Source organism: Homo sapiens, chromosome 3 (assembly GCF_000001405.40).
Source record: "Homo sapiens chromosome 3, GRCh38.p14 Primary Assembly".
In the NCBI taxonomy this organism is placed as follows: domain Eukaryota; kingdom Metazoa; phylum Chordata; class Mammalia; order Primates; family Hominidae; genus Homo; species Homo sapiens.
The window spans coordinates 70,385,957-70,409,160 of record NC_000003.12 but is presented as its reverse complement, the minus strand read 5'-3'; the positions used below and the strand labels follow the sequence as shown (position 1 = coordinate 70,409,160).

At 37.1% G+C, this 23,204-nt stretch overlaps 1 long non-coding RNA gene across 3 annotated transcripts in view; it reads right to left on the bottom strand.

Annotated features, from left to right (window-relative positions):
* Positions 1–23,204, bottom strand: part of SAMMSON (survival associated mitochondrial melanoma specific oncogenic non-coding RNA) — a 435,002-nt gene that overhangs the window by 25,429 nt on the left and 386,369 nt on the right. The window contains exon 10 of one of the 3 annotated variants that reach the window (NR_186030.1): positions 17,458–19,587. The exons of the other annotated variants lie outside the window; for them this stretch is intronic. This is a non-coding gene — a long non-coding RNA (survival associated mitochondrial melanoma specific oncogenic non-coding RNA). Of the gene's footprint in view, positions 1–17,457; positions 19,588–23,204 lie in introns of those variants that run through there. 3 annotated transcript variants of the gene reach the window in all.

Here is a 23,204-nt window from a genome sequence, read left to right as displayed (position 1 = left end):
ATGTCCCCACCCAAATCTCATCTTGAGTTGTACTCCTATAATTCCCATGTGTTACGGGAGACACCAGGTGGGAGATAATTTGAATCATGGGGGTGGTTTCCCTCATGCTGTTCTCATGGTAGTGAATAAGTCTCAGTAGATCTGATGGTTTTGTCAGGGGTTTCCGCTTTTGCACCTTCCTCATTTTCTCTTGCCACCACCATGTAAGAAGTGCTTTTGCCTCCTGCTATGATTCTGAGGCTTCCCCAGCCAGGTGGAATTGTAAGCCCAATTAAACCACCTTTTCTTCCTAGTCTCAGGTATGTCTTTTTCAGCAGCGTGAAAACAGATAAATATAGTAAATTGGTACCAGTAGAGAGGGGCATTGCTGAAAAGATACCTGAAAATGTGGAAGCGACTTTGGAACTGGGTAACAGGCAGAGTTTGGAACAGTTTGGGGGGCTCAGGAGAAGACAGGAAAATGTGGGAAAATTTGGAACTTACTAGAGACTCATTGAATGGCTTTGACCAAAACCCTGATAGTGATATGGACAATAAGGTCCAGGCTGAGGTGACCTCAGATGGAGATGAGGAACTTGTTGGGAACTGGAGAAAAGGTGACTCTTGTTATGTTTTAGCAGAGACTGGCAGCATTTTGCCCCTGCCCTAGAGATTTGTGGAACTCTGAACTTGAGAGAGATGATTTAGGATATCTGGCAGAAGAAATTTCTAAGGAGAAAAACATTAAAGAGGTGGCTTGGGTGCTGTTAAAGGTATTCGGTTTTATAAGGAAAGCAGAGCATAAAAGTTCAGAAAATGTGCAGCCTGACAATGTGATAGAAAAGAAAAATCCATTTTCTGAGGAAAAATTCAAGCTGGTTGCAGATATTTGCATAAGCAACGAGGAGCTGAATGTTAATCCCCAAGACATTGGGAAAATGTCTCCAGGGCATGTTAGAGGTCTTCATGGCAGCGCCTCCCATCGCTGGCCCACAGGCCTAGGAGAAAATGGTTTCATGGGCAGGGCCCAGGGTCCCTGTGCTGTGTGCAGCCTAGGGACTTGGTGCCATGTGTCCCAGCTGCTTCAGCCGTGGTTGAAAGAGACCAACCTAGAGCTTGGGCCGTGGCTTCAGAGGGTGCAAGCCTCAAGCGTTGGCAGCTTCCATGTGGTGGTGAGCCTGCGAGTTCACAGAAGTCAAGAACTGGGGTTTGGGAACCTCTGCCTAGACTTCAGAAGAAGTATGGACATGCTTAGATGCCCAGGCAGAAGTTTGCTGCAGGGGCAGGGCACTCATGGAGAAACTCTGCTAGGGCAGTGCAGAAGGGAAATGTGGGGTCAGAGCTCCCACTGGGGCTCTGCCCCCTGCTGGGGCACCACCTAGTGGAGCTGTGAGAAGACGGCCACCATCCTCCAGACTGCAGAATGGTAGATCCACCTACAGCTTGCACCATTCACCTGGAAAAGCTGCAAACACTCAATGCCAGCCCAAAGCACTCAAGGCAGCTGGGAGCGAAGCTGTACCCTGGAAAGCCACAGGGGCAGAGCTGCCCAAGACCATGGGAACCCACCTCTTCCATCAGCATAACCTGGATGTGAGACATGGAGTCAAAGGAGATCATTTTGAAGCTTTAAAATTTGACTGCCCCACAGGAAATTTTGGACTTGTATGGGCCCTATACTCCTTTGTTTTGGCCAATTTCTCTCATTTGGAAAGGCTGTATTTACCAATACCTGTATCCCCATTGTATCTAGGAAGTAACCAGCTTGCTTTTAATTTCACAGTCTCATAGGCGGAAGGGTCTTTCCTTGTCTCAGATGAGACTTTGGACTGTGGAATTTTGGGTTAATGCTGAAATGAGTTAAGACTTTGGGGGACTGTTGGGAAAGTATGATTGGTTTTGAAATGTGAGGACATGAGATTTGGAGGGACAAGGGGTAGAAAATTATGGCTTGGATGTGTTCTCACTCAAATCTCATCTTGAATTGTACTCCCATAATTCCCATGTGTTGTGGGAGGGACCTGGTGGGGGATAATTTGAGTCATGGGGGTGGTTCCCCCATACTGTTCTCATGGCAGTGAATAAGTCTCACAAGATCTGATGGTTATATCAGGGTTTTCCCTTTTGCATCTTCCTCATTTTCTCTTGCCAACAACATGTAAGAAGTGCCTTTCGCCTCCCACCATGATTCTGAGGCCTCCCTGGCCATGTGGAACTGTAAGTCCAATTAAACCTCTTTTTCTTCCCAGTCTTGAGTGTGTCTTTATCAGCAGCACGAAAACAGACTAATACATATGATTATTTACGTTTAATGTTTCAGTGTTACATAGCCTATCATCTCACTCATTGTTTTCTACCTGTCTCAACTATTGTCTCTCTTTTACCTCTTTTACTGCCTTTTTTAGGTGGTTGTTCCTTCTTAGAATTCCAATTAATCTCCTCCATCAGCCCATTAGCTTTTTAAGTTACATTTATTTGCTTTATATTTTAATGATTGTTCTAGGATTACCACATGCATCTTCAACTGATCATTGCCTACATTGAAATATTGCATCATGTATAATATAAAACTTTCCATTTCTCTTCTATCATCCTTTGTGCTCTTGTTGCCATAAATTTTATTTCTATATATGCTATAAGCTTCCTAATATATGGTTGCTATTTTTACTTTATGCAGTCAACTATCTTTTTAAAAAATGTTTAAAACCAAGAAATCAAATTCTTTTAAATTTTTCCATATATTACCATGTCTGGGCTCCTTTAACATTTCTTGAAGTATAGGTCTGTTAGCACAAATTCTCTCAGATTTTGTCTAAAACCTATAGTACTTTCATTTTGTAAAGAATATTTTCATAGGATATGGAATTCTAAGTTAATTGTACTTATTTTTCTTTCAGCACTTAAATGAGGTTTTTCCATTGTCTTCTGGTTAGAATTATTTCTGATGAAAAGTTAGTAGTAGTTCTTACTTTTGTTTCCTTGTATTTGTTTATTTTAAATGACAAATAAAAATTGGATGTATTTATCATGTGCAACATGATGTTTTGAAATATGTGTACACTGGGGAATGGCTGAATAAAACTAATTAACATAAGCATTAGTTTACATTTTTTTTGTGTGATGAGAACACTTAACATTTATTCTTTCAGCAATTTTCAAGAATGCAATACATTGTTACTAAATATAGTCACCATGTTTTACAATAGACTCCCTGTATTGAATATGCCTTTTTCTCAGGCATTGGTTAAGATTTTTTCTTCTTATCATTAATTTTCAAAAACTTGATTGTAATGTACCTTGATATAGTTTTATTTTTATCCTACACATTATTCATTGAACTTCCCTGCTTTGTGGGCTTATAGTCTCATAAAACGTGAACAAATTTTGGCCATTATTTCTTTAAATACTTTTTCTGTCTTCTACTCTACCCTCTCCTTCCGGAGTCCAGCTACATGCAGATTCGACTGCCTGCTGTTGTCCCACAAGTCACTGAGTCTCTGTTTATTATCTTCAAGCTTTTTGTTCTTAAAATTGGATAATTTCTATTCTATTACTATGTCTTCAAGCTTATCGATTACTTCTCTGCAGGGTCTAATCTCCTATTAAGCCCATTCTGTGAATCTGTTATTTTAGTTTTTAGATTTTCATCTCTAGAAGTTCCATTTGGTTGTCTATTTATGACTTATTTTTTGTCTATTATGCTCATAGTTTCCTTTAAGTCATTTAACATAGTCATAAAAACCTTTCCTTCTGGTCATGGGTCACATTTTCCTGCTTCTTCTACTATACTATGGGTGTGTAGTAATTTGTGATTAGATATTTCAATTTTTAGATATTGTTAAATGCCAGGATTTTTCTTTCTTTAAAAAGTGTTGATAATTTATTTTATTTTATTTTTTGGCCATCAGTGAAGCTTTAGGCTTTCAGCCTAATTTTAAAATTTTGGTAGGGAAGGTCTAGGATAAGCTTTCATGTAGGGTTTTGTTTAGCACACCTACTATTATGTGGTGACCCTTATTTGGTATCTACCAAATGCCCCATTGTTTAGAGTCATGTCACTCTAGTTGGTTCAAACTTGAGTATCTCCCAGCCTATGAGAGCTCTGGGAATTGTTCCACTTTTAGCCATCAGGTAGTTCTTCTTTCACTGATGTTTTTTGTTGTTGTTATTTGTTTTGCTTTGTTTTGGTTTTGCTGGCCTCATGGACTCTCATCCTACACATAAACAGTAGTGTGCTAAAGACTCAATATGACACTTTGCAGATTTTTGGAGATTCTTTCTCTTAAGTTCCATTCTCTCCATTATTCCATCATACTCTAGTGGCTTCCAGCTTGCCAAACTCTGGGCTCTGACTCCTCAACTCAGGGAGATTGTTGTGCTTTGCAGTGTAGAAATACAGTGCTGTCCAGAAAGTGCCTCGGATAGAAACCCAGGGCAGTCGTAGGGCTTGCTTCTTTGTTTGCCTTCTTTCAGGGATTATAGTCTTGTGCTGCATTTTATCTGATGTTATTTCTTATGATATTTTTTAAATGCTGGTTGTTTATGACAGGGATGCAAATCTGTTATCACTACTCCATCATGCTCAGAAGCAGAAGAGAGTCATACCTACTTAATATGAGGACTCTAAACTCATTCACATTATATATAATCCTTACCATAATTTTTATTCTTATGCTTGAATCCCAAGAAGATTAATTATATCAAGTCAGTGTAGCTCCTTCCCATCTGGTCTTCTGTGTCTACCGGGTATCTCTGAATCTTGACAAGATCAAAACTGCCATATGGAAAGATGTCTACATGAATCCAGGTCAATATAATGTCCATTAATGTTTTATATAGGCTAAATTTGATACACAACATTCCTTGGTCTCCAAATCGTGGATAATGAGTTTTTTCATAATTGTGTGACCTTAAATATCAACTAATCCCCCAAAAAGAATATGAGCAAACATTGTAATAATGATGCTAATGATATGCATATCATTAGCACCATTATAATGATCATAAGAAACTACATAATATCCATGACAATGTCATGCTAAATTAGCTTAAATTTAATAACAGTAAAATTTTTAATCACTAGATATTTTAAACAGAATCAAAAACCTATTCACAACACATTTTAAAGATTCCATATAATCAGTATTTTGAAAATTGATGAAAAAATATCTGAGACTACACTGAAACATGGACTTTGTATTTTGAAAATTATAACCTATTTGTCAAGACTTGTAAGTAGTATTTAGATCCTTAAAGTAAAATTTGATAGAGATAATAATATCTATTCTGGATCAAGAAGGATTTTTTATCAAACATAAGGATCATAAGTATCACACATATACATACTTATCTGTATACATTATGTATACACATATTTGTGTACATCTAACTTTATATCTATATCTGTGATCAGAAGATACAAATGAGGACATTTAGTATCCTATTATAAGATTTCTATACAGGAGGAGTCAGAAAACAATTTATATGAAGAACTCTGTTGTGAATATTTTAGACTTTGTGGCCTAGAGAGTCTCTCACAATCACTCAACTCTGTCACTCTAGTGTGAAAGGGGCCATAGAAAATAAGTAAATGAATGAGCACGTGTTCCAATCAAACTTTATTTACACAAAAGATCGCAACGCAGATTGAGACTGCGAGTCATAGTTTGCCAATCTGCGATCTACAGTATAAGATAACCCAAAGTCCTAGAACTACCTGAAGATAGGTGCATTATCTAGGGTCAGTTTTGAACCACTAAGACTCTCAAACATGAACATCCATCTCTTGTACACCTGTCATCCACTCTTTTCACGTTAATCCATTTTTGTGCCTGTTTCCAAATTTGTTTTGGCCCCTATCCCCTGGCTTTGGGTGTTTGTTTTGTCTCCTCACAGAAAATTTTGACTGGGCCTCTCCTCTTTGGCTTCCCTGCTGTAAACTGAGGCAGGACAAGTCAAATATGTTTTTGTCTGCACAGGGCAGGGTAGGAATGGGTGGGCACACAAACTCTTTAAGACCATCATTTGATTTCATTGCTCATTATGCAAAATAATAATGTTATCCACACAGTCTCTTTTTCTGCACCTCCCTAAACTAACACACTGAAGTAGCAAAAGAAATTATTTATTAAATGGGCATCTGTGACTATAAAGCATACAGACCATACAGACTATATGGAAGTCTCAGCTACTATGATATTGATTAAGAAAATATATCTATCATACACATGATATATATATAATATATATACACACATATGTGGTATATAAATGGTAGAGAGAGATATATATATACATATATATGTATTTTGTAATTTTTTGAGATGGAGTCTTGCTCTCTCACTCATGCTGGAGTGCAGTGGTACAATCTCGGCTCATTGCAACCTCCGCCTCCTGGGTTTGAGTGATACTCCTGCCTTAGCCTCTTGAGTAGCTGGGATTACAAGTGAATGCCATCACACTCAGCTAATTTTTGTATTTTTAGTAGAGGTGAGGTTTTACCATGTTGGCCAGGCTGGTCTTGAACTCCTGACCTCAGGTGGTCCGCCCACCTCAGCCTCCTAAAGTGTTGGGATTATAGGCGTAAGCCACTACACCTAGCCCATGATTTATAATTTTGAAATACATTTTCCTAAGAGACTATGTACTATATTTTACTAATTTTGTTAAAATATATTTTTAAAACCTTTAAAAAAATACACCAACTTAATCCATGAATGATGAACTTCATGAAACAATGTAGCATCCACATTAAGATGTTGTGAAAATTTAATTAAGAAAACATTTATAAGGCCCCTAAAACTGTGCATGCATATTGTAGGCATTCATATGTCAATTCCCTTATTCTCACGTATCAAACAGGAAAAAATACCAACTGAACCACTCAATTTATGGAAGGATGTGTATTTTCAGATGGTGTTTCAGTAAGAAATATATGTTTTATTATTCCACAAACCTAGTTCTATTGCTCCGGATTAAATAACAACTGAAATTCTAAAAGAACCAAGACTCTGCTAACAACCACACATTCCCCTAGAAGGCTTTCTATGTCAATATACATTTTAACTCTACAGAACAGATTTGAGACTATGGACAATACTGAAAGACAAGGACATAATAAAGCAGGATTTCCACAGAGCATACAGGGTCACACTTTTAAGTAACCTGGAAAAACAGGGCTGCTTAATTATCTGTTGAATTTTAGTAAGTCCTGAAGACATACTAAAGAAATGTGATTAGGAAGAGGACAAGCACTTCTTTAGTAAAGGTTTATAAAAATAAACTTCAGTATAAAGAAGAACCTTGTAAATGTTTGCTCATGACTTTTTCAAAAAGCAAAATAAAATATTTAATAATCTCTTTCATATGGCATAATTTCACTAGTTTTTGCCTTAGGCAAAAGGAAAATTTTTGCTAATAAAATTGCTTTGAGCTTTTCCAAAAAGGAAACCTAAGCTAAAAAGGTATATTTCTTTTAGCAAGGAATAGATCCTTAGACTAAATCTTAACCACACTTTCAATAATGTTTTTGAATTGCAAAAAGTGAAAATAAATAGAAAAAATATCCAGAAAAAAATAAAACAATATTATGGAAAAAGTAGTATTGGAAATTGGCAATGAATAATTTTTTCTTAAAAAATAAATTGATTTGTACTTATACTTCATTTTCATATTATTTCGAGAAAATAATCACTGAATTATTTCATTCAAATTACCAGGGATTGTATTTTATCCAAAGAACATTCATGTGACTTTAACCTTAAATGCTAGTAATTGCCTTATGTAAGAGTAAGGTAGAGGCCTAAATTGAAACTTGCATTCTTGGATCATGTAGAATTTCTTCATCCTTGTTAAATTCAGTATTTGCCCAAGTTATTGGCTAATCTACAAAAGGAGTTGTAGCTCTTCACTTTAACTCTTCTATCTTTATTATGTAATGATATGAAACATTATCCAGAAAACCTCTGTTAATGTGGAGTCTAATTTGTAATGAGAGATAAACCTTTGTCCATGAGAAAAAACAAAATATCTATTATATAAATTACTAGTGCAAACAAGAATGAAGGAAATGAAAAAGGAAAACAAAAGGAATAAAGACTAATAGAGCAGTATGTAATATTATATTAGTGGATAACATTGACATTAGTCTTAAACTGTACTATAAAATGATTATAAATTCCTTTTGAGATTCTGAATGACAACCACCTCTACTTTTGTATTCTTTCTTTCTTTTATTTATTATTATTTTTTGAGACAGGGTCTTGCTCTGTCACCCAGGCTGGAGTGCAGTGGTGTGATCTCGGCTCACTACAACCTCTACCTCCCAGGTTCAAGAGATTCTTTTGCCTCAGCCTCCTGAGTAGCTGGAATTACAGGTGCACACCACCACACCTGGCTAATTTTTGTGATTTTTAGTAGAGACAGTATTTCACCATGTTGGCCAGGCTGGTCTCAAACTCTTGGCCTCAAGTGATCCACCCACCTCACGCTCCAAAGTGCTGGGATTACAGGCATGAGCCACCTTGCCTAGCCAACAACCACCTCTAATTCTTGCCACATGTCTGAGTCCATTTAGTATTGCTATAACAAAATACCTGAGGCTGGGAAATTAATAAAGAAAAGATGTTTATTTGGCTCATGATTCTGGATGGTTCACAATTGGGCAGCTGCGTCTGGTGAGAGCCTTACACTGCCTCAACTCATGGCAGAAAGTGGAAGGGGAGCAGATGTGTGCAGAGATCACATGGTGAGAGAGGAAGCAAGAAAGAGGACCCAACGAAACCAGATCTTTTTAACAACCTGCTCTAGCATGAGCAAGAACTCACTCACCCTTGAGGGAGGGCATTGATCCGTTCATGAGGGATCCACCTGCATGACCCAAACACCTCCCACTAGGCCCCATCTTCTAATATCTTCAGGGTCAAAATTCAACATCAATTTTGTTGGGGACAAACCAAACCATGGCACCATATTTGTGTGCAATGTCTACTATTATTTACTGGTTGTTTTTGATTGGTCCCCTTTTTCTTGATTACATGTATTTTAACAGAAAATTCACTATCATCACAAAATCCAGAGTTTCATGTTCCAATTATATGTTGAATATATATTGAAATAAAAATAGTATTATGAAAGCAAAAATAATATGCCACTATTTTCACACAATATAATCACACACCCTTCTTACCTTACTTAAAAAAATCTACCCCATATTAGAGCTGCATGCAGTACATTAATGAGAAAAACTGATATACACAAAAGTATTTTTGTTGTTGGTGTTGTTTTGGTTTGGTGGGTTTTTTTGTTTTTTTTTTGTTTTTTTTTTTTGAGTCAGAGTCTTGCTCTGTCACGAGATTTCAGCTCACTGCAACCTCTGCCTCCCGGGTTCAAGTGATTCTCCTGCCGCTGCCTCCCGAGTAGAGTAGCTGGAACTACAGGCACACACCACCACATCCAGCTGATTTTTCTTTGTATTTTCAGTAGAGATGGGGTTTCACCATGTTGGCCAGGCTGGTCTCAAACTCCTGACCTCAGGTGATCCAACTGCCTTGGCCTCCCAAAGTGCTGGGCTTACAGGCATGAGCCACCATGTCTGGCCCATGAAAGTGTTTTTTATGTAATCATTTTATGAAAATGATATCAACAGATATATTTGTTGGGGTTTTCATTTAATTTCAAAACCTCTAGTTGGTCTACATTGCATCCTGGGGAAAATCACACTGTAAAGCATAATCAACTCTCTCTATAAAATACGGTCATGTCCACTGGCATTGTATCAGGCTCTTAAATACAGTTTATTGACATGATAACCCAATGAATTTCATACTTTTGTGACCCACCTCTTCCCAATTTCTACCCCATTTAACAGATGAGGAAATTTGGATTCAGATCATTTAAACAATTTGCTTAGGAGTATACAACTGGAATTTGCCCACTAGTGTGTCCTATTACAAAGTCTGCCTCTAAAACGGAAATAAACAACGAGGATGTTGTGGAATATGAGTAGGTGGGCTTGCCAACCAGCAAAAGGAGAAAAGAGGAGGGGAGGAAATATGGGGTGGCTGCTTACTCCCAGTAAAAACATTTCTGTCTCCATTTCCATTGTAAATTTCTCTGACTAAAAACGCAAGATTCATGTATTTGCTTTCAGATGCTTCTAGCTCTAAAACAGAATGAATCTAAGAGTTACATTTTCAAATGATTGCTAAAGGATGAATTAAGATATCCTTCTCATTAGCCCAAGTCCATTTTTTCAGTCTATTAACTTGCATATATGAAAGTTCTAGCAATATAAAACCACATTTTGTCACATGCTCATAATTTTGGAATTAGGGAATTTTGGCTCCAAAAGCCATGAGGCTGACAGATAGCTGTAGTAATTCCAACAAATCTATATTTATGTGTTTCTCAGAAGAACATCGAGCATTTACATTTTCTACCACACACTCCCTATCTGGTTGATGAAGTGAAAGTCAAATTTGGAGGGATGAAGTACAAAATTTACAGGACATCTTTAGGATTCCAAAAATTATGAAGAGCAACTTCAGGTCATATAAAAGCTATTTTATAATGAACTATTTTAATATGAAAAAGAGCTTCAGAATATCTTCTATCTACTTAAACTGGTCAAACACATAGTTTAGTTAAAGAACACAAAGATGTGTGCTGTTCAGAACAAAATTAGTAATAAGAATGTGCTATGTTTATTTGGGTTGTTAAAAAAGAATACAGTGCTTTAGAAATTTTTATGCTGATTTGTTTAAGAAACCAGTTTTTCTAAATTGTGGAGACAGCTAGAAATACATGTTAAGATATGATCCACAAAATTATTTTGAATCCATTTTGGATGAAAAGTCTTTAATTTACTTTAGTCCAAAAATATACAGGAAACCTTATTCATTCTCAAAGGAGATCAGCAAAAATAAGTCTAGAATAAAGCCAATATGAGTAAATATTGCTGTTTCTTTTCAAGTGGCAAACATATTTAAACCACCCATAGACATGTATAATTTTATATTTTTCTTTCAATATCTGCTTTATAACTCATGTAATTTTCTCCCAAGTTGCTCTGATGGAATTGCTGCATACTATAGATTTGCTTCCAGAAATTTTGCTTCTAGACACTGGCCACTGTGACCATTATTATTCAAAATTGTTTTGGAAATTCAAGATGATTCAGTGAGAAAAAATAGAATACATAACTACTATAAATGAAAAGATAACATTATTAATATTTGCTAGGATGTTAGAAAAGCTAAGACAGTCAGAATTAATAAGCACATTTAACATTTTTCATAATAAAATGTACAAATAAAGGATAGTGTTATAGTTTGTCTAATATATCAGCAAGTAATAACCAATGTTTTAGTGTGGATACTGAGATGACTTCTCTTTTCCTGATGTTGAGAGTGTAAATTGGCAGCATGTTTCTGAAGGTAATTAGATCATACATATTAAGATATTTATACCTTTTGATCTAGTAATTTTACTTTTAGGATTTTTTTCTAAGGAAATTAGATGAAATAAAAATGAAATCATACACACATACACACACACACTTATATATACACATATTGTTAATCCGAAATCACACACACATATTGTTAATCCGAAAGTGGACACAACTTCAGTCTTCAACAGAACATTGTATGTCCCCTTAGTCAAACATTCACCAAATGTTAAAAATCCTTTTTCTACAGAATATTACAAAATTAACCAGGCATAGTGACGTGTGCCTGTGGTCCCAGCTACTTGGGAGACTGAGTGGAAGGATCACCTGGGCCTGGGAGCCAGAGGTTGAAGTGAGCCAAGATGGTGCCACTGCACTTCAGCCTGGGTGATGAAGTGAGACCCCGTCCCAAAAAAACAAAAAGAAGAAGATTGAGGAACCTATGAAGAATCTTTGACATACTAGCGATCCCAGAATGGAGCTCAAAACTTAATATATAGTAATATTCAAATATTGATTAAAATGATAGCTATCACATATGAAAAGGAAGCTGAGAAAATATCTCAATTTTATAATAGTCATGATCTTTTAGTGATAGAACTTGGGGTGATTGCTGTTTCCTTCTTTATTACATTAGCTATTAAAGAGTACATATAACAATCTGAAACTGTTTTTTGTTGTTTTCTGAATTTATATAAGGATCCACAGTCCAAATAAAGGACCCACTAAGCATTTGCCAAGTTTATAAAATGTACTTTTCACTTGAAAACTAACTTACATTTTAGAAAGATAAACAAGTAGTAAAATTTTCCTTTGATTATCTTTCTGAGATCTCCTAAGTGACTTTTGCTTTCCTTCTCAAACTCTGTCTTCCCCAACACTTCCCCAACACTGTCTTCCCAACACAATAACTGGAGATGATGTCTTTGCATTCCTGCTCCTTGTAAGAAAAAAATAAATCAGCGTTTTGGAACTGGAAAAGATTAGGATTAAATTTTAAGATGGCTTATAGCTTGCCTTATGTAACATATACTCTCTGATTTCCCCTGAATTTACATTTCCAAGACAGATTTCCCTCTTTCTACACTCTAGAATCATGTATTCAGCTGCCCACATGAAACCTTAATTTGGTTGGTTATAGATATTTCACAGTTACTTTATCTAAAGTTAAAATATTTTGGCTTTTTAACTTACTGCTGTATCCCTAGAACAATGTCAGAATCATGTATGTTACATAGTGTGTGGTCCTCAAATATTTGCTGAATGGGTAAACACATGAATTATTACCAAAAGGGCTTGTGGACCCCTGCAATAATCACAGGACATTAGGCATGACTGAAGAACATTAAAGGATTTGATTTCTTGAGTGCTTTACAATTGATTACTAGTCACTGAATGATATTTGAAAATCATTGTAGAAGAATCCCTTACATTGACCTAGCCCTTTATTGTGTATGTTAATAGTATTTCATATTGTAATATTTCATATTTATAACATTGCATCAGTCTTCTAACAAACTATAATTCAGCCATGGAAGATATTCTTTTTTCTTTCATATATGGAGAAAATAAGAGTCATCATTTATTGAACACTTATTATGTGCCAGTCACTGTGCCCAGACCTTCATCCTCATGTTTAATCCTTGGTGCTAGAGATCAAATTTTAAAGGTGAAGAAAAGGGCTTGGATGAACTTAGTGTTCTCATGAGCTAGATGCCTTGTAAGCTGGGGATTATAATTATTATTGAAGTTTTAAAAAGAGAAAACTGGCTTAGAGGCATGAATTCACACCAAGTTTCTCATAGGAAGGGTTGGATGAGCTGAGGTTCAGACCCAGGTTGTCTGGTTTCCAAGCTCGTGCCTTTAAGTACCAGACAATGCAATCTCTTCATGAAGCACTTGGCCCTTCTTGGGGGTAATCACAGCTAGAACTTAGAGCATTGACTCCTAACCCAGGGTACTTTATACTTCACCATGAGCTTATTTAATCTTACCTGGTTGGATGATGATATTAGATATATTACGTGACTGTCCCTGCCACTCCACATTCCTTAAACCCATTATTCTTCCCCAACCAGTAGCTGCTTTGCCAGGGTTGGGGTTGTCACAAAAAGTTTACAACAAGCCCTCAAGTAGATTTCTGAGTAGATTTTGTAAAACTGTGGCAGGAGTAATAACCGGAAAGCCAAAGTGCTTTCAACAAAATAGTTTTGAATTTAGGCAAAAACTAGGCACTTTATGGGAAAAATAAAGGAGTTTTACTGCACAGAATCCAAAGCATAAACTGGGCTAATGCCAGTTTCTTGCCACACAGAGTAGAAGTAAACATCTCTTATGGGCAGTTTAGAGGCACAGGAGTGCACAATAGCAACAACAACAACACAAAAAAAAAAAAAAAAAAGAGAGAGAGAGAGAAGGAGAGGAGAGGAGAACTCAGATGCAGTGAGTGGGTTCTTATTCCTCCCTACCTTGACTTGCATTCTGCAGGAGGGGAGAAGAGTGGAATGGAGCGGACAATAGAGACCTTTGGCAGGATTAGAGAGGCTCAAAAGCAACAGGGACCAGGGCGTCTCATTCCCCAGGGTGGGCCTGAAAAAAGGTATGTTTCTGAGAGATGCTTGGTCCACAGCAAAGCTGCTAAGCAGTTGGGGGATGGTTCTCAAACCAGAAACAAACAGGTGATACTTGGAAATACATTTTGTGCCTTTGGCACAAAATTTAAGAGAGCACCAAACTCAGCTTTCAAGATAAAAAATATTTTAATGCATGATTTCAAAAAATAGAAAGTAATGGACAAAAACTAATTATGAACAAAATATCAAAATATTAAGTACAGACTGGCTGTTGCTGGCTGTTTGTTTTACAATGCTGCATTTTGTGCAACGAGAATCATTATTTTTCAATCAGCTCTTGGTTCCTGGACCCCAGCAGCTTTTGTGTCCCATGATGGGTGGGTTTATAAGGATTGATGTCGATGTCTGAAAAGTTTGGACGTGATTTTACGTATAGTTTTTTCTTGCATTATTTATTGTGGTGAAATATATGTAACGTACAATTTACCATTTTAATCATTGTTAAACGTACAGTTCAGTGGCAATAAGTACAGGCACACTGCTGCACAACCATTACCCATCCATGTCTAGAAATTTTTCATATTCCCAAACTGCAGCTCAGTGTATATTCAAGAGTAACTCTCCATTATTCCCTCTCTTCGGTCCCTGGTAACTGCCGTGTCATCATGATTTTTCATTGTAGAGCTTCTCTTAACTTTGTCCGCTTGGCCCAAACTGTGGGAGGAGGTGTCAGTAAGTGCATATAGGGACAAACATTTTTCCTTTTGGCTCCAATATGGCATGTCAAGGCCACGCAAAGGGAAATTGTGAGCTATTACCTAGACAATACTAGAAAAATGCCAGGATCCACCCAAATAAGATCACCAAACCACCCCCACTCTTCACACATCCAAGTTGACCCAACACACTTGACTTTCAGTCGGGCATTTCTCTCACACGATAATCAATAGCCATCTCTTCTATCGGTAGCAAAACCTGTGATCAGAAATGAGTCTTTGTGTTGATTCAGTGGCTGCTGCTCCTTCACCACTCCCAGAGCCAATCTGGCAGGGAGTCCTGTTAGTTTAACCTTGAAAGAGCTCTCAACAGTTCCTGTCCATTGTACTGCTACTGCTGGAACTCAAGGCACTACTACCCTTCACCTGGGCTCACTGGAAAGAGCCTCTTGTCTGACACTTGTGCGCATGCCTCCCTCTCATCCATTCTCTACATAGCTGCCAAAGTCGTCTTTTTAAAAATCGAATCATGCCACTTCCCAACGTAAAATGCATAAATGATCCTTCCATGTATGTAGAGTAAGAAGTCCAACTCTTCAGCAAACCCTGCTCTGGCCAGCCCCAGACCACCTGTCTGAGCTCCGCCCCTACCTCTGCCTTATGAGTTTGCTCTGCTTGGAGACAGAACAGTGAAGTTTATTTCCACCTCCAGACCTTTGCACCTGATGTTTCCTACACTTTTTGCCTGGCCAACTCCTTGCCATCCTTCAAACTTCAGCCTTAGTCTCATTTCTTCAGAGATGAACACTGAATTCTCTTTCACAGCTTGTTTTTCTAGAAGCTTTTATCACAAACCTTCTGTAGTTCTTTTATTCTATTGGTTTATTCATTTGTCTCCTCCTCCAGAAAGCAAGTGCTACCAGTGCAGGGATTATCTCCCCAAGCTGTAGCATTGCTCATGGCATGTAAGAGCACCCAAACCACTCGTTGAATGAATTCATAAACAAGTGATAGAGATTTTATGAAAAGTAGTAAAATAACCACCATTTGTTGAAATCAACTGAGGTGTTAAGCATCGTACAAAGCACTTTATATATACTGTCTCATATTAATAGCCCAATTTTATGTGAGAAAATGGAGGCTCATAGAGTTTTACGGACTTGCCCAAAGGCAAAAACATTGCAAGTTGAGTTTTGTGATGTGAATTAAACACTGGTGTACCAGCTTTTGAGAATGCAGAAAACATGTGCCAATAATAAGTGAACATAAACAGTTACACAAAATATTATAGTAAAGGCCATAAAATGGCATACTACTGAAGAAAGCATCATGATCATATTCAGACATTTAAGCTTTTAATCAAAAACATTCTAATTAGTCCATATTCCATTTCTGCTCTGATCATATTTCTTCAGAAAGAGATAGGAATTGCTTTTTCTGAACAAAATATTCATTGGAGATCCCAAAATGTGCAAAAATAGCTTTGCAATGCGAATTAAAATCTGCCTGGCTCCAAAACTTCTTTTTCTCTGCCACCCCTTACTGCCCGTGCCTTCTGCTGGTTGAACTCTCCTTGTTCAATCTTAATCTGCCTGGTATGGCAACATCATTACCTGGCCTGAGTCAAAGGTAGTACCAAGTACTAAGTGAAAATTATCACAAGTTTTATCCCATTTCATCCTTCAACAACCCTGGCGGGTCAATATTGTCATTATTTCTACTTTATAGATGGGGATGCCAGAATTAAGTCTTTTAGTCGGGGTCGCAAAGTCGATGGTAGAGGCTGAATTCGCACAGAAGCCTGACTGATGCTAGAGCCCCCATTTTAACTCTTCAGCCTTACTGCAAACATTCTTTAGAGTGACTCTGTGGGGCTAGTGGTGGAGACAGAACCACTATCTTCTAAAGCAGGCCTTGCCTAGGGTGAGCCTTATAAATAAGCAGAGCAATCAACTACGAGGCTGCAAAGTCCTGAGGTCTGTCATTACTGAATCTTTCCTTGAGAGGGGGCCACCTGCACATTGTTTACTTGCAGGGGCTTTGGAGTCAGGTAAAGCCAGGCTTGTGCCTTCTGCAACTTCCTATGTGATCCTGGTCAAGTTACATAACCTCTGTGAGCCTCAAATTCATTGAGATAAAATAGTGCTTACTTCCTGGGGGATGGGTGGTGAGATGTGAATGAAATAAATCATGTAAAAACTTTGTGCAGTGTTTGTCACAGAGTAAATATCTAAAAATCAGAATCATTATTATGATTACTATGAACAGTTATGGACTATGTTACTTAAATGGTTTTCAGACCTGTTTAAGTTTTCGAAAAGAAAAAAGAAGGTCAAAGAACAAAATTATATCAATTTCCAATTAGTCTAGGGCTAGGCGGGGTACCCATCCCCTTCTATTGTTGGACACAGGAAGGCGGCCATTTGTGAGCAGATGGGCTTGTCTCACCATAAAAACAGATAGTAGAGTTCTCGTGACATAACATGTGAGTATTTGGCATTTAATAAGGGTCAAGCAACAAATCTTGTAAATATTGTTGCATGAATCTATTCAGAAGTGAGAAGACATCTTTATTTTATACAAAATTCATCAAATTCCTACTATAGATATTGCCATGATGCGTCAGTAAGTTTGCCTTCATATAATGAAAATAAAGAGCAAGTTTAACTGTATAACTAAATTCCCATTCTTTTTCAACAGATGCATTTTGTTTAACACCAGGAGATTGAAACAAATGAGTCTGACAAAAACATGAAGCTTTATTCCCACCTCCCTTTCATAGAAGGAAATGTAATTAATTATTAAAATAGGAAGAAACCAAGACATTGCCCTCTATACTACTGACAATCAAACATTGGTTATAGTGAACACAAACAATTATGCACATATAATTGGACTACAGACTATTTCTGCCTTCCAATTACAAGAATAATTTTCCTACAAGTACCGAGAAAGAGACCATATAAAAATATTACTGGCACCTGGCTAAAACACATGTTGTACCCTTGAGAACCCAGAAAATAGGTGCCAACATGAAATGAACCTGAAATTGTATACAAAATACAACCAAATATTATGCCATAAAGGGCATGATTGTAAAGACTGCATCAAAATGATTATAAATATTTACTCCAATCATTTGAGCCTTTTAAGTCCAAAATATTCTACTCATTTATCCATTCCTGCATTACACTTCACATCTACATTTTTGTCATAAGAGCAACAGAGATTTGCTTTTCTAAACTAGTTTTCAGAGATGATCTTAAGCAAAATAGCAACAGCATAAACATATGTAATTCCTAGGGCATATAGTCTCAGCTGCGAAGGTGAAGGGATTCTGATGCCACAGTTCTTTGTCTTTTCTCTGTAAATTACCACTAGTCACTCTTCCCAACATATGGTCTGGCCATGATGAAATGTGGTAACATATTTTTCATAAATTCTAATGACACAATAGGGTCAACTTAACATGAATTTGTCAACAAAATATCTGGCTGGAATATAATAGGCAACAAACACTTACAAATTTTTGTTTATAATGTTTTAATCTCCTACACATACACCCTCTTTCACTTTTTAACTTATACATCCCTCCAATGTTTTGGAAAGTTACAAGACTAAAGATTTATTTTTAAATTTTATACCTTACTATTTTCTGTGAAAAAAATTGTATTTATTGACATAGTTTGGATATATGTCCCTGCCAAAATCTCATGTTGAATCCTAAGCCCTGATGGTGGAGGTGATGGAGGTGGGGACTGGTGGGGAGGTATGTGGGTCATGGGGATGGATCCCTCATGGCATAGTGCTGCCTTTGTGATACTGAATGAGTTCTCACAAGATCTGGTCATTTAAATGTGTGGTAATCCTCCCCCATCCTCTTTCTCTCTTGCTCCTGCTTTTGCCATGTGATGTGCCTGCTCCTCCTTTGCCTTCTGCCATGATTGGAAGCTTCTTGAGGCCTCCCCAAAACCAGATGCTGCTATGCTTCCTGGACAGCCTGCAGAACCATGAGCCAATTAAACCTCTCTTTTCATAAATTATCCAGTCTCAGGTATTTTCTTTACAGCAATGCAAGAATGGCCTAATACATTTATCAAAATCATTATTGCTTGGAATCAATTTTGATATTTTCTACCAAGTTGCAAATGAAAGAATATGGAACAATGAGAACTATCAAACTTAGAACCTTAAATAAAAAAATTTTACCAGGCCAACTCCTCTGTAAAGTGGTTATTTTAATTCATATTACAAATGATGAAATTGAAACACAAGGAAGATAATTTTTGCCAAGATATTATGTGGTAAGGATTAACCTTGCTTTTAGAAATCGTGTTTTTGCAACAAGTCTGTACTGTCTTTAAATTATAGGTTAAGGTTCAGAAGTGTATTACAGCATTTAGATAAGCTGATGTTATTTCTACCACCTTGAAAAAAAATGCTCTTGTGATTTATCAGCACCTTCCTTCAGTCATTGCTCTGTTGCTCTTGGATTTCTAGCAAGAGAAGAAAGAGTTATTTGTACTCATTGTCTCCAATTTCTTTCTTCCAATTTCTTCTTAAATCTACTTAAACCAGGATTTTGCTCCAAATGCTCCACTCGGATTACTATCTACCAAATCGCAAATGACATCCACACTGGTATTTCCAATGACCACTTCCTGGTCCTCATCCTACTTGACTTGTCAGCAGCACTTGATGAAGTTGATTACACCCTCCTCCTTGAATCACTTTCTTCTCTTAGCATCCAGAAAAAACGACCAGTCTTCTTAAGGCCTTGACCTCAGATGTCTCAAGATGTCACATCAGCTGTACAAAGCAAGTCACAAAGGCCAGCCTGTATACAAGTGGAGGGCAAATAGACAACACCCTGTGAGTAAACAGGGAGGGAAGAAATTGTTGTCAGCCATCTTTACAGACTAGAGCATAGACCTCAAAAATAAATGGATATTAAACAGATTAATGAAGATAAAGAGGTTAGGAGAAGATCAAGAGAACTATGTCCCATTTAGAGAGAATAGTCATAATTTAGCACAACATGTTTATATAGAATATTCAGACCATCTATTTTTATTTTAAACTGAGTTTTTGGCAACTCTCCCTCCCCATCTTCTTCCTTGCCAAGAAAAATTTGAGATTTATAAGATTTCAAGTTACCATTTTATACTACACAGGCGTATGTTTTAGTCCGTTTACTTTTGCTATAACAGAATACCTGAGACTGGGTAGTTTATAAAGGAAAGAGGTTCATTTTGCTAACAATTCTGGTGGCTGGAAAGTTCAAGGTTGGGCAGCTGCATCTGGTGAGGACCTCGTGCTGCTTCAACTCATGGAAGAAACAGAAAGGGAATGGGTATGTGCAAAGAGGTCCCACGGCAAGAGAGGAAGCAAGAGAGAAACTGAGGAAGCCAGATTCTTTTTAACAACCTGCTCTCTCAGGAACTAATTCACTCCCTTGAGAGTGAGAACTCCCTCACCCCAAGGGATGGCATTAACCTATTGATGAGAGATTTGCCCCCATGATCCAAACACCTCCCACTAGACCCAACCTCCCAACACTGCCACATTAGGGATCAAATTTCAACATGGGTTTTGGTGGGGACAAACCACATCCAAACCATAGAAACTTATGACTGCAATTAACAAAAATCAAAGATATTAGCACTGATATCTCTGCTATTTCCTCAGGCATTCCTACATGATTCAAGGTAGCTGTCCCCCAACTAAAGGCATCATGTTCACATTCAAGGCAAGAAAATAAGCACGGGATGATGTTACCCTGGCTGTTTCCCATAATTCCACAGCCATCTTTCATTCATATAGCAAAGGCTGGAACTGAGTCATATGGCTGTCCTTAACTAAAAAGGAAATTGAGAAGTGAGCATGTAGATTTTTGCAGACTATATTGTAGAAATAGCAATGGACAAGAGGGTTGGATTATCTTTTGGATTATAGTGAATCTATAGCATTTATCACAGTTTTTCTTAAAAAAGAAAATTCAGGAACAAAATAAAAAGAAACATACAAACAACTGTTTTTTTTAGAGAAGGGTTGGAAAACTTTTTTGTAAAGAACCAAATAGAAAATATTTTAGGCTTCAAAGCCCAAATGATCTATGTGAAAATCACTCGACTTTATTATTTTTGTGTAAAAGCAGACATAGATAATACATAGACCAAGGAGCCTATGTTCTAATTAAAAGTTATTTACAAAAACAAATGATGGGCTGGATTTGGCCTACAGGTTACAGTTTGCTCAATCCTGCTTTACCACAAAAATGTGAACAGGCAGATGCCTATATTATGCATCTTCTCAGAGTCTTAAACTTCTCCTCAAATGGTTTGCACAACCACTAAGAACGATATTTCCTGTTTGTTGACCAACGTGTCAAAAAAGCGTTCATCACATCATTGTTTCAGCAGTGCAGGGGGTGAGAGATTAACAAACAAACAAAACCAAAACAAACCAAAAAAAATAGGCTCAAAAGTAGCAATGGTTAAGCCAGGATTTTATTATAGAAATAAGGTATATTTTATAATCCATTTCAATCATGTTCTACAGTAAAATTTCATGTAGGCAATTCAAGTAACTCCTATTTGTGATGACATTAAATCATTTGAGAGGTAGGTAGAACATTTAATACAGCCCCTGTAGGAGTGTTATGATGGAACTATCCATAAGAATATATCCATAAGAATTGTGTAATCAAAAACTTAATCCTTGATAAAACAATTTCAATTGCTATTTTGAAGTTCTCTGTGTGACCTGATTGTTACATTTTGCCCTTAGGTATTCAGAATATCTTAACTCAAATTCAACAGCATTTTCCCCAAGTATGGTATAATCATAATAGCTGAAAATGAAAACGATTCCAAAAATAACTTCAAGTTAATTGTGCAGGTGAGAAAATATATCCACCCACACATCAACCAGTGCCAAATTGTCTGAGTGAAAAAATAAAAATCTGGAAAGAGAGCAACTAAGCCTAAATTTCAAAAATATGCCACAATATATTTAGAGAACTACTTACTATTACAAACACCATCATTGCAGGCATTCTACAGGACAGAGTCTCCTTCATAAAAAATGATATCAGAAGAGTTCTTTTATAAAGTATACAAAGAAGAAAATGATTTGTGCACTCTCTTCCATCCAATAGATTATTTCTAGGGTTTCCATATATGGTATGCAACATTCATGATTCTACTTTGCCTTATATCAACCTTCTACACTGTGACAATAACTGCTTAAATCCTTTTTAAAAAGAGTTTAAAACTTATGCTAAAAAGTGCTCTTTTGGTGATCTCATGAGACCAACTTCTGGCCAAGAGTTAGATATAATCTCTACTATTTCCTCTCCTTGCCATGTCCCCCTACTTGTTTCCAGAAAATCTATAATATGTAATAATTTAGAATTAATACCTCAATTCCCTAGATCTTTTAATGAATTCACTTACACTTGGGGATCTGACCAAGGCATCTGTTCATGAATAGTGGAATGATTACCAAGTCCTGATGGGGAAGGCACACTGCCATCTTTTCCTGAAATACATCCCAACAGAGAAATCAACTGCCTCATGCCTGGATTTTCTTGTGTGTCATTTTTTTTCATTAAATGTAAAACTCGTTTGGACATTTTCTTCCAAGCCACCTTCCTTTACCCTATATTATCTGTTAGAAGGTAAATAAAAAGGTCTAGCAAATAAAACTGCCCTCATGTACCTCCCCTGGAACTTTATAAGGGAAATTAGCATTTGACTCAATTAATAACCATTGCTGCTTCAAATTTCAGAAATTATTTTCTAATTACATTGGGCTTTACTGACACCTCCAAATCCTCCATCTGCCAAAAACTTAACATGAGCTGTAGCGTAGTCTAATCCCTGCAGTAACTCTAGTTAGAATTGTTGATATCAGAGGGCAATATGCAGTCTCTAATTCATTGGTTTCTTCCTCACTTATCAAATATTCTATGCATTAAAGTTCAAATGAATTTATTTTTTTTCATTTTACATACTTAAAAACTAGGTTAAATCTCTTCATAAATGAGATATAACCTGGACAGCACATTTTCTGTCTCTAGTCATCTCATTTCTGTCTCTCGTAAACCAGATGGGGAATAATAGTGGTTTCTAACCCAACTCCCCTCTTGAAATCAGAGAGCTAGGTAGAGCTGTTGACTTTGAGATGGACACTAGGGTGTGCCAGGGACCTTGATAATCAGCGGAGCTTCTGTCATTTTATGTCTGGCTTGGATTAAATTTGTTGACCTGTTAGCACAAGGCTGCGATTTTCACTCATGTTTTCCAGAAGGCTTCAAAACGCTCTTGCCAACAGTATTATGCTATACTGCTCCCAAAGCATGGAGGCAAGCAGCCAGTGTGATTCCCCACAGCGAAGAACTCTCCTAGCTCTTGCAGATTTGTGACCCTGAGTTGGGATGTTTGTTCAAAAGCCTACCTTATTTGTCCTGGGCAGTACATTGCT